This window comes from Homo sapiens, chromosome 4 (genome assembly GCF_000001405.40).
Source record: "Homo sapiens chromosome 4, GRCh38.p14 Primary Assembly".
In the NCBI taxonomy this organism is placed as follows: domain Eukaryota; kingdom Metazoa; phylum Chordata; class Mammalia; order Primates; family Hominidae; genus Homo; species Homo sapiens.
Window position 1 is genome coordinate 80,361,431 of NC_000004.12, and position 13,269 is coordinate 80,374,699.

A 13,269-nucleotide genomic window follows, 5' to 3' on the forward strand; every position below is an offset into this window, starting at 1 on the left:
TTACTCAAATGATCTCACTTTTGTAAATTAATCCCCAAATCTGCATTGGTATTTCTATTAAAGATTAATTCCACTAGGTGGAGATATTTGCTCAGTTTTGTGGTTCACACTAAAGGATACTGGAATAGAGAAATCTATTAAACAAGGGAGTGTCTCAGAAACAAGAATAATAGCCTTGGGCCTTCCAAGACCTGTTGCTTTGCATTGTAATCATTTGGCAAATGTATACACATTGCTTTGTGGAGTTTAGTATTTGTTTTTAATGATTATAAAAGTGGCAGGTTTCTAGGCTTACAGTATATAATTTTTTATTTTGTTTGAATACTTACAACTTTAACCACTATGGTTTGAATAGACTGTTAACTAGACATCTTAAGTTTTCTCCTTTAACTGTTAGACAGTTCTTGCATTCAACAGCGATATAGTAATTAAGTCTTCATAATAATAAAATAGATTCTGTTTTCACTATGTTTTAGATATTTTATTTTTAATTAAAATGATAATGGCCACTATTAATATATAAATACTGTTGTTGAATACTTTAATCTTTATACTAATAACTTTATGAAAAATGGTACCTTGTCAAATCATGGGGAAACAATTTTTTTAAGTATACCATGCAACTGACAAAGATGTATGCGATAATTCTTAAAGTAAGAAAAGTGTAAGGCCTAAAATACTGGGAAGTTTTTTTTTTTTTCAATTTGAAATTTTTTTGTGGTGATCTGGGTTTCTACTTTTCTGTTTTTATTGGTACCAACATTATATGGAAACAATCTTCATAGTTAAGTAAGAAATTCATCTGCTCCTCTTTATTTTGTATTTGAAGTTATAATATTCTGTGCCATCGGTTAATTGACTTCAAGGAAGTAAGGCTCTAAAACAATGAGCTCTCTCAAAGCAGCTTGGTTCTTTTTTTTTTTTGCCATTGGTTTTTAAAATGTCTTTTGTGTATGAGTACCATTGTCTCTATTTTTATTGTTTTAAAGATACTCTATTAATTACCTACAGCTGTTCTCATAAATTGATTAAAAACACAACAGACTTTTGTCCTCTAATCCCTTAGAGAAAAATTAGCAATTGACATTTTTTTTTCATCTTAAATATATGGGAAAGGGAAGACCAAATCAGATGTGTATAAATGTATTATTAGAAAAATTCTAGTTTTTTTATATCTAATAGATCATGTCTAGTTTTTAAATACATTTAATTTTTCATTTAAAGCAATTGCTTGGTATACATTGCAGATGTAAGATATAAGTAAGTAAGTAAAAATAGTATGTCTCATTTGCCCACTCACCTAACAACTGATTTTCTCTCTAGGATGAAACCCTGGCCCGCCAGTTGGTGGAGCTAGGCTACCGAGGGACTGGAGAGAGAGTGAAAAGGGAAGATTTTGAAGCAAGGAAAGCGGCTATAGAGATTGCAAGACTGGCTGAAAGAGCTCAGCAAAAGTAAGTGTCCATGTTCCAAATCCAGATTTTATGTTATATTCTAGACCTCTGGAGTAATTCAATTTCGTTTGCATTGTTTAATTTAGAAGCACTGGGTGGAGCAGGTAAAACTTGGAATATCCTAAGCATTTGTTCTGCAGATGAGGAACTGAAGCAACTGTAATATGCTTGCACTAAAGCCACATGCAACTTCAAGCTACTAATTTGAAATATACATACCAAAATATGGTCATCATACCAATAAAGTCTTGTTAAAAAGTAACTTGATATTATTGGTTTTATACATTTATATACTAAAAATATGAATGACTTTTGCCTTAGAATTCTTTGTACTTTGAGGTCTGTAAATCTTTAGTATCATTTATGTTCTCACATTTTTCTAAGCATTAATTCATTCAACTTTTTAATCACTAACTTTTGTTTATATGCCTAATTTATATATGTTAGTATATAATATGTGGTTATATTAAACATAAATGTAATGAAATATGTTAAAACATATGATGAAAGAGATATATTCCTAAAGTGAACTGCATCAAACTTGTAAGGCAATTTTATAAAGACCTAACTAGTTGACAAATTAATAACCTATTTCATTTTTAAAAGTGGATCATTAAAGTATAAATGTTGGGGAGGATAATTACTTAGAAATCAGTATACTATCATTGGATAACATCTTTAAAATTACCCAGTAATTATGAGCATAAACTTCCCATGTACACATTATAAACAATAACATTTGGTAGTGGAATGTGCTTTGGTCTTGGGAATATGCAATTAGAAGTGGCCATTCTAATGGTAATTGTGTTTCAGAACCATAGTATACTGAAGTTTAACATACTGATATTTGGGAATATATTAGTTTTCTATTGCTGCCATAACACGTTATTACAAATTTGATGACTTAAAATAACACATTTCTGGCCAGGCGTGGTGGCTCACGCCTGTAATCCCAGTACTTTGGGAGGCAGAGGCGGGCAGATCAAGAGGTCAGGAGATCAAGACCATCCTGGCTAACACAGCAAAACCCTGTCTCTACTAAAAATACAAAAAATTAGCTGGCGTGGTGGTGGGAGCCTGTAGTCCCAGTTACTCAGGAGGCTGAGGCAGGAGAATGACGTGAACCCGGGAGGCGGAGCTTGCAGTGAGCCAAGATCGCGCCACTGCACTCCAGCCTGGGCAACAGAGCGAGACTCCGTCTCAAAACACACACACACACACACACACACACACATTTCTTTGTTCATTGTTCTGTCCATACAGTGTGGCTCGGCCAAGCCCTCTGTATAGTATATCACAAGGTTGAAATCCTGGTGTAGGCTGGATGGCATTCTTGTCTTGAGGTTCTGAGGATGCAACTGCCTCCATGTTCAGTTTGGTTGGCCAAATTCAATTCCTTATGATTATACGGCTGAGTTCTCCAGTTCCTTGGTTGTCATTTGGGGGCTGGTCTTTGCTCCTAGAAGCTGTTCATGTTTCTTTTTAAGCTTTCCCACTCCCTCCAGCAACAGTGGGTCAAGACCCTTTTACCCTTCAGATTTCTCCAACTTCCTCTTCAGAAGGTTCTTTCCTGACTCTGGTCCAAGAAATATCTCTCCTTTTAAGGACTTATGTGATTACACTGTGCCCATCTAATGATCCAGGATAATCTCCCTGTTTTAAAGTCAATAATATTTATTATATCATCAGCAAAGGCCCTTTGTTTGTTATTTCTTCAACTTTTATTTTAAGTTCAGGGGTATGTGTGCAGGATGTGCAGGTTTGTTATAGGTAAACATGTGCCATGGTGGTTTGTTGCACAGGTCATCCCATCACCTAGGTATTAAGCCCAGCATCTATTAGCTATTCTTCCTGATGCTCTTGCTTCAACCAAGCCCCACTTTGACAGGCTCACTGTGTGTCATTCCCCTCCATGTGTCCTGTCTATGTGTTCTCATCATTCAGCTCCCGCTTGGAGGTGAGAACATGCAGTGTTTGGTTTTCTGCTCCTGTGTAAGTTTGCTGAGGAAAACGGCTTCCAGCTCCATCCATGTTCCTGCAAAGGACATCATCTCATTCTTTTTATGGCTGCATAGTATTCCATGGTATATATGTACCATATTTTCTTTTTTCAGTCTATCATTGATGAGCATTTGGGTTGATTCATGTCTTTGTTATTGTGAACAGTGCTGCAATGAACATGTACATGCATGTATCTTTATAATAGAATGATTTATATTCCTTTGGGTATATACTCAGTGTTGGAATTACTGGGTCAAATGCTATTTCTGTCTCTAGGTCTTTGAAGAATTGGCAAACAATGGTTGAATAATTTACACTCCCACCAACAGTGTAAAAGTGTTCCTTTTTCTCCACAACCTTGCCAACATCTGTTGTTTTTTGACTTTTTAATAATCACCATTCTGACTGGCATGAGATGGTATCTCATTGTGGTTTTGATTTGCCTTTCTCTAATGATCAGTGACGTTGAGCTTTTTCTTATATGTTTGTTGGCCGCATGTATGTCTTCTTTTGAAAAGTGTCTGTTCATGAAGCAAAGGACCTTTTGGTATGTAATGCAACATATTCACAGTTCTTAAGATTAGAGAATGGATATCCTTAATCCCATTAATGTGAGAAAGGGGCATTCTGCTTATCACAGGTAATTTATATAAAATCTCAGGAATTTACCGAACATAGTTATTCACTATCAACTTCTATTCTTGGAAAATTGAAATGAGGCTAGTTTTCTGTGTACAATGTAATGTTTGAAATGTGTCTTATGTAAAACATCAGGGAGAGTCTTTTCTTTTTGTGAGAATCAGTCAATGTCTATCAGTCAGAAGCAGAAGTGGAAATATTTTTGTGAGATTTTACAAGGAATTCCTGTAAATTCACATGCAATTTTATGAGTGATATAAGCTATTTCATATCAAGACGAGTTATTCATGTTTAAAGTCTAAGTTCTATTGACATCACATGTCCATTTTGTGTTTGAGGATCAAAGTAGGTATTTCCTCTATGCAATAGTCTCTTTAACTGGTCAGAGCTGGAAGTCATCAGGCTACTTATGAGCCAGTTTTGGGAGACTAATCCCCATTCAGAGCTGCTAGAATTTGAAGGCCCTTTCATCTGCAGATCTTCTCTGGTTGCCTTTGTAATGGGATGGGTACCATATGTTGCCTTTTGCCCCATGTGGTAGTCCATTCCCTTCCAGGTTCATTTAGTGTTGTTGACAGCAGGGCCAGCAGATGGTGTCCTAGAGCCAAATATGTCCTGTGCCTATATTTGTTGGAGGATCACTTTGAAAATATGCATGAACATCTGACTGCCAGCCAGCTGGCAACTTGGAAACACTTGGTTCCACTATCAGATCATCTTACATTAACTTCTTTAATATGCAGGTGAGCAACTCCAAGTAGGTCACAATTCTTTGGTCTAGCAATCATAGAGCACCTATTTCGAGAAGTGCTGGTATCTAGGAGTATGTTAATTACTCACAATAGCTTCACAGGGGAAAAAGTCTGGAGAGATGAAAGTTAAAGATATCAGGAAGGTATATTTTGATTAGGGATGTTCAAGAAGAAGGCAAAAATGCTAAAAAAATATTTTGGGCTTCTATTCAGTCTTTCACAAATTAGACAACCATAGTGCATTAGGCTCTGTGCTGTAGGCTCTGGGAATACAATAGAAAACAAGACTTAGTTCTCACCCTCAAGAAGCTTGAAGACTAGAGAAATGAAAGGCATTACATTGTTGGTGGGAATGGAAAATGGAAAACAGTTTGGCAGGTCTTCAAAAAATTCAACGTAGAGTTACTATATGACCCAGCAATTCTACCAAACACATATTCAAGGGAATTGAAAAACCTAAGTCCACTTAAAAACTCATATACAAATGTCAGTAGCAGTATTATTCATAGTAGTTAAAAGGTAGAAATTGTCCAACCCATCAACTGATGAATGGATAAAAAATTTGGTACCTAAGTGTAATAAAATACTATTCAGTCATCAAAAGGTATAAAGTAGTGTTACATGCAACAACATGAAAAACCTTAACACATTAGGGTAAGCAAAGGAGGCTAGAAAAAAAAGACTACTTACTGCATGATACCATTTATATAAAATGTCCAGTATCAGTAAATCTATAGAGACAAGTAGATTCATGGTTTCCAAGGACTGGATGGAAGGGAGATTGGACAATGACTGCTAATGAATATGAGGTTTCTTCTTGGTGTGATAATATGTGTAAATAGACATTGGTGATAATTGCATAACTTTGTAAATATACTAAAATCTATTGACTTGTGCACCTTAAAAGTGTGAATTTATAGTATGTGATTTAAATTTCAGTTCAAAAAGACAATTGCAATGGAAGATGATAAATGCAATCGTAAGTACTGTGGCAACATTTTGAAGTAATACAAAGTCAAGATTTGTGAGGGGACGTGAAGAATAAGAAAAGTTCTTCTTAATGTTTGACCACTAAATTGATTCTTAAAGGCTCAATTAGAGTTAATCAGGCAAAGAGTGGTGTGAGTGAACACATCCATTTTGCCTCAATCTTATGATAAACTCCCCTTATTCACAAATTATTTTCTTTACTTCTTTGTCTTAATTTGTACCTGTTCCTTCACTAAGGCCCTTTTTTCTCCAAAAACTATACCAACTAGAGGCACCCATTTCAACATTTACTGGGTTGGTATCCAAGGTGATGATGTGGGGCAGGGTCGGGGGGATAGAGTCGATTCTTCATTCTCCTAGCTTTCTCGTCCTTTGCTTCAAAATCATCTCTGCTCCACTATTATATAAACATCTCTGATTTCTTCTCCACTGAGATTCATTCCACTGGTTATAGTAGCCATAAGACAGAAGCTGTAGAGGTTGGAAGAAGGGATGGGAGTAATTTAGCTGATACCCATTTGTCAGGACAGGGAATTCTCTCCCCCAGGGACTGGCCATGGTTTTCTTGCATAAGTGCCAGATAATTTCTATTTATAGTGAGAAGTTCAGCTGATTGCCATGTGGTGGAGAGATGGAACTTCAATATTCGTGACACACATTGACTATTGTGTTCCTAGAGCCTAGTCAGTAGTTACAACTGAGTCATCCCTCAGGCTGGATACTTGCCTGGATGAGCTTGTAAGATCATCAGTTTTTCACTTTGGGTCACCTTATCTTATTGGGAAATGAATTCACCCCTCTTAAAACTGGTTCTGAGATAATGACCTTATTTTGCTAGAGCATGGTATCTGAAATGCAGATGATCGGAATAAGTGGTAGCCCTGATGGATTCTGTCATTGTACTGGTTAGCTATTGCCATCTTCTTGGAAGACTATTAGATAAGTCTTTGGGAATTACTGTAAGGATTCACTTGATAGGAGTCTCAGATGCTGTATATACATGGATCCCTATGATCTTTTTGTACTTGATGAAGAGGATTTCTATGGTGATTTAGAGTAGGGCTCTTGTACCCTTTATTCTCAAGTATATCTGGAATAAAATGTAAAAACTGGATAAATCTCCAGCCTTTCTTATGCTATTCAATCTAGTTAATTTAGCATCTGTTAAATTCTTTTTTCTGCTATAATGTATAGTTATCTCCTTCAATTTGTTTTTAACTATAGAAGGTAGAAATGTCTGTTAACTTATAAAATACTTTTAATTTTATGGAGATGAGCACTTTGGGAGGTTGAGATAGAACTGCCTGAGCCCAAGAGTTCAAGACCAGCCTGGGCAACATAGTGAGACCCCAAATCTTAAAAAAAAATTATGGTGATGAAGTCGGATAAAATTCCAGAGTTTATTTTATATAAGAATGGCTTTATCCTGTCAACCTTGTTTTATTTTTGTATATCATTTTATGATAAAAACTGAATATCATATACTTGAGAATTAAATGAGAAAATTTATGTATTTTAAGTGTTTGGTGAAATAATTTTAACTTTTTGCTTAGTATCATATTTTTAAATAGTTATTCTCATGGTTTGTTGCTTTCAAACCAAAGCAATACAGTTGTGATTTGTTGCAGATTAGCATCTCCAGGAAGCAGACAGTGAGAATTAGGAGTGCACAAGGTTTGTTGAGAAAGCAAACACCTGTGAAAGGAAAAGTGAGGAAGCAGGACTGAGCAGGGTCAGAGCCCTAACCTCAAACTTTGAGAGAATCTCTCAGCACAGTGGAGAGCTCCACAGTACAAGTTATCCCACATGGGATGAAATAGCCAGGCCTTAGTATCTCCACTGTACTCATTGGCTGGGGACCACTAAGAAAAGTTGAGGCCAATCTTGAAAGGGTTAAAAGCTGGAAGCTGTCAGCTCATGAAGCTCCTCACAGCTGGCAGAAATTCCTTTATACAAGGTACATCTGAGTGATGCATCTTGTAACATACAGATCTACTTCATGCGCACATGGAGCAGCTCCTCCAGAGCATAAAGGCCTCTCTTCATGAGAGGAAACTCACAATAAAGTCAATGGGGTGAGCTACCGCCCCTATCATTTCATAATCTTCCTCTTCCACTATCCATTCTAAATCTCCTGCCTTTGTCTATCATCTTTCTAGGATTTTGTGATGTGACCCAAAATCCTTATTCACAAATGCCCTGAGGCCCTTATCATCCTACTCTACTCAGGCCCATGTTGATACATTTGTCATTCACATTTAAAATTTAGGAAGAGCGTATGAACAGATGCCTAGGTGGTTCACCTGAGTTAGCCATGTATTCTTCCCTATCCCCATTCTATAACTGCAGTCCTTCTTTTTGCTGATCAGCATCAGTTACTCTACAAGATCATGTCTCCTCTTCTTGCCTGCTGCTTCCTGGGCACAAGATGCCCAAGGTGCCTAAGTGGCAGCCATAGCTTGTAGTTCAGTGAGACACTTGCTGTTTTCCTTGGTGAGTATCCTAGTGCATGCACATCGGTTTTTAATAGTATTGCTGCCGAGCTGGAGATTCAGTGGTGCCTTCAGTGAACATTCCAGCACTTTTAGCTGACAGCTTCTGGATAGTGCATGCATAATATGACCAGAGGACCCCATGTTCATGAACACTCTGCTGTATCTATTTTCTATACAATGGGTATATCAGTTCATTCTTACACTGCTGTAAAGAAATATCTGAGACTGGGTAGTTTATAAAGAAAAGAGGTTTAATTGGTTCATGATTCTGCAGGCTATACAGGAAGCATGGTGGCATCTGCTCAGCTTCTGGGGAGTCCTCAGGAAACTTACAATTATGGCAGAGGGTGAAAGGGAAGCTGGCACTTTACATGGCCAGAGCAGGAGGAATAGAAAGTTGGGGAGGTGCCACACACTTTTAAACAACCAGATCTCTTGAGAATTCACTATTGCAAGGAGAGTACCAGGGGGAAATCTGACCCCATTATCCAATCACCTCCCACCAGGCCCCACCTTTCTTCACTGGGGATTACAATTTGACATGAGATTTGATGAGGACACAGATTCAAACCATATTATTCTGTCCCTGGGCTCCCCAAATCTCATGTCCCTCTCACATTGCAAAACACAATCATGCCTTCCCAACAGTCCCCCAAAGTCTTAACTCATTCCACTATTAACCCAAAAGTCCACAGTCCAAAGTCATCTGAAACAAGGCTAGTCCCTTTTGCCTATGAGCCTGTAAAATCAAAAACAAGTTAGTTACTTCCAGGATACAATGGGGGATAGGCATTAGGTAAGTACCCTTGTTCCAAAAGGGAGAAATCGGCCAAAAGAAAGGGGCTACAGGCCCCAGGCAAGTCTGAAACCCAGCAGGGCAGTCATTAAACCCTAAAGCTCCAAAATAATCTCCCCTGACTCCATGTCTTACATCCAGGGCATGCTGATGCAAGGGGGGCTCCCAAGGCCTTGAGCAGCTCCACCCTTGTGGCTTTGTGGCTTCACCCCCACAGCTGCTCTCATGTGCTGGCGTTGAGTGCCTGTGGCTTTTCCAGGCACAGGGTGCAACTTTTGGTGGCTCTACCATTCTGAGGTCTGGAGGATGGTAGCCCTCTTCTTACATCTCCACTAGGCAGCGCCCCAGTGGGGCCTCTGTGTGAGAGCTCTAACTCCACATTTCCCTTCCTCACTGCCCTAGAAGAGGTTCTCCATGAGGGTTCTGCCCCTGCCGCAGGGTTTTGCCTGGACATCCAGGCTTTTTCATATATCCTCTGAAATCTGAGTAGAGGTTCCCAAGCCTCAACTCCTCCATTCTGTGCACTTGTAGTCCTAACACCACATTGAAGCCATCAAGGCTATGGCTTGCATCCTCTGGAACAATGGCCTGAGTTATACCTGAGCCCCTTTGAGCCACAGCTGGAGCTGGGGTGGCTGGGGTTTGGGATGCAGGGACTGGTGTCCTGAAACTGCACAGGATAGCGGGGCACTGGGCTTAACACATAAAATTGTTCAGTCCTCCTAGGCCTCCAGGCCTGTGATGGGAGGGGCTGCCACGAAGGTCTCTGGAATGCCTTTTGAGGCCTTTTCCCCATTATCTTGGCTATTAGCACCTGGCTCCTTTTTTGTTATACAAATTTCTGCAGCCTGCTTGGATTTCTCCCCCCAAAATGAGTTTTTCTTTTCTATCACATGGCTAGGCTGCAAATTTTCCAAACTTTTATACTCTGTTTCTCTTTTAAATATAAGTTCCAGTTTTAGATTATGTCTTTGCTCACACATATGAACATAGGTTTTTACAAGCAGCCAGGACATATCCTGAATGCTTTGTGCTTAGAAATTTCTTCTGCCAAATACTCTACATCATCATTCTCAAATTAAAAGTTCCACAGATCCCTAGAGCCAGGGCACAATGCAGCCAAGTTCTTTGCTAGGACATAACAAAGTGATCTTTGCTCTAGTTTCTAATAAGTTGCCTCTTTCAATCTGAGACCACTTCAGCCTACCTTCACTATTCATATCACTATCAGCATTTTGGTTACAATCATTCAACAAGTATCTAGGAAGCTTTAAGATTCCCCTCATTTTCCTGTCTTCATCTGGGTCTTCCACATTTTTCCCATTATCCAGTTTCAAACCTCTGCCCATTACCCAGTTCCAAAGCTGCTTCCACATTTTCTATTATCTTTATAGCAATACCCAACACCTAGTACCCATTTTCTGTATCAGTCCATTCTTGCATTGCTATAAAGAAATAACTAAGACTGGGTAATTTATAAAGAAAAGAGGTTTAATTGGCTCATGATTCTTCAGACTGTATAGGAAACAGGGCAACATTTGCTCAGTTTCTAGAGAGACCTCAGGAAACTTACAATCTGCTGAAAGGTGAAGGGGAAGCCAGCATTTCACACAGACTTAGCAGGAGGAAGAGAGAGATGGAGGAGGTGCCACACATTTTTAAGCAACCAGATCTCACAAGAACTCACTGTCACAAGGACAGTACTATGGGGAAATCTGCCCCCATGATCCAATCACCTCCCAACAGGCCTCACCTCCAACACTGGGGATTACAGTTTGGCATGAGACTTGGTGGGAATGCAGATTCAAACCATACGAATGGGTTCCCTGGTCGGGATGCAACTTTGTATTGGATTTGATGCTTGTGTAGCAGGCGTTCAATGAGTCCCCAGATAGCAGTGCTGGCTAAGGCCGAAGAGGAGAAAAGCCAAACTCTGGAGTTGTGAGAAAATATATTTCTGTTTTAAGCCATCCTCTCTGTGATACTTTATTATAGCAGTCCTAGAGAACTAACACATTGAGTAAGGCTGTAGTATATCAGGGAAAATGTATGAAGTGGCAGGCCCCCAGAGCTTTGTAGGGTTTATCTGCCCTCCTCTGGAGTGACCATGCCTTTTGAAAGCCAGGTACTACTCATTTCTTGTTCATCCTTTCCAATCAGCGTGATGTCACTGATGGAATCAATCAATGTGAAGTTCTGTGGGATGCCCAACCAGCCCAGATTCCATTATGACAGAGGACAGGAGAATAAACATAACCCCGAGACAAAATTGTAAATACATGTTATTGTCTGTTTAATGAGAAATCAAACTGATTTTGACTTTATTTCCTAATTGAGGCAGAAAAGAACTTATTCACGAAATCAATAGCTACATAGTATCTATCTGAAGACACATTAGTCTGTTCCAGCAAGTAGCACTGCAACTGCAATTAGGGCTACTACTTGGAGGAGCTTGTGGTAGTCTACACTTATTCTCCAGGATTCAACATGGGGGTTGTGCCAGCTGCCATGTATGACAATCTGAATTAGACATTTCAGTCAATGATCCCTGAGTGGCTGCATAGACACAGTGGACCTAACCCTTGCATAGACACAGTGGACCTAACCCCAAGGGTTAGGATAAACTAACCCTTGGCCAGGACTCCATTTCTCATCTGACCCCCATAAGCTTCCACTCTAAGAGCGGGGCCACAGTGATTCTTTGGATCTCTAGATACCAGTCTCAGCTTGAATGCAGATTGAATGCAGATTCAGTAGTCCATTAACTGTGTGGGTATTACATTTTCCTTTGTGTGTACTCATTTGAGTAAATGCCCATAGGTCTCTTTGGGGGAGAAGAGAATCACTGCAATGAATACTTGCTATGGTGAATACTGCATGTGGTCACATATTTAGTCAACAAGTTCTTGGTCTAAAAACTGAATGATATATGGCAGTGCATCGTGCTTTTTTACTGGAATGGCTGCCTTCAACCTCAAGTAACCATCTTTAATTTCTAACTATGATACAAATTGAGTTATTCCTTTATTGATTGCCCATCTGTTTTGTTCAAGGATTACCATGTTCTATAAACCATCTTCATAACTTTCTGCAGTGCCCTTGGTGGTCATTGGGCACATTACATCATTGGTCCTTATGATAATTACAAGTCCCTGGTGTCTTATGGTTAAGTTCCATCACTTAGCTTCTGTTGCATCAAGGTACTATTATGCCCATTGTGCTTAGGGTAGCCTAGGTATGCAACAAGGCTTTTCTGCATTCAGCCCTGGAATGCATTGGAGAGCCATCACTGAACTTCTTAATGATTCTGATGCTTCAGTAACTAGCACATTTTTTATGCTATTAACGACTGGCTATCTTCTGGGTTCTTCTATAGACCATGATCTTCCGGTGAGTTTTCTGGTCTCACACAATATGTTTCTTCTAGGATTGCCATTTTCCTGAGCATTTTCCTCTCTTCTTCAAAAGTCTCTCTCTGAAATTTAGGCCTTTGAACTGCACTCAGTGTAGGCCATTGCTTGTTCCAGGTTTCTTGGAGTCACGCTAGCAGAGTTTGCCTCATCTTCTGGGGTCCGTACCAGAATGCAATGCCCTGTGTTCTGAGAAAGTGTCATGTGAATAAACTCTGACTTATTTAGTCTTATTTCTGCTTTCTCTGACCTAGAATCCCCAGAATCTAGTCCAATGAGTCCCTCTAGTCTTGTTGGTACAAGTCCTAGGTCTTGTAGTATATGTGGGATAATATTCCTTTTTTTCTTATCAGACCTACCATGTCCCTATCTGTGACTTGACCATATTATCAGCCTGGTGGCCAGAAGTGTAACTCTGATAAGGGAACTGGGGATATCTCCTGAGGCACACACCTGCTTTTATGTGGGAGAAAGGCCTCTATTTTCTTTACATTGCTGCTGCTAGTTGTGGGGGTTTGCTAGCTCTTACTGAAGAGCAGTGGGCTACTTCTTCAGGCTCAGAAGATTTAGAGATCTGGAAAGGTCAAAATTTTCAAAAACATCTACTCATTTGTCCCAATCCCATGTGTCAGGAGCTGCGATTTTCCTAATCAGAGCTCTGATTTTGGTGTAACATACTTGCCCCTGCTGAACATTTGACTGCCTTTGGAACTCATTCACTGTGACTGTCAA

At 39.3% G+C, this 13,269-nt stretch overlaps 1 protein-coding gene across 6 annotated transcripts in view; it reads left to right on the forward strand.

Moving 5' to 3' along the window:
• The window catches only part of CFAP299 (cilia and flagella associated protein 299), a 642,486-nt gene that overhangs the window by 40,166 nt on the left and 589,051 nt on the right, over positions 1–13,269 (forward strand). For all 6 annotated transcript variants that reach the window (XM_017007976.2, XM_047449975.1, XM_017007977.2 and 3 more), the window contains one exon: positions 1,324–1,454. In XM_017007976.2, the coding sequence (XP_016863465.1) occupies positions 1,324–1,454 (131 nt within the window). The remainder of the gene's footprint in view (positions 1–1,323; positions 1,455–13,269) is intronic.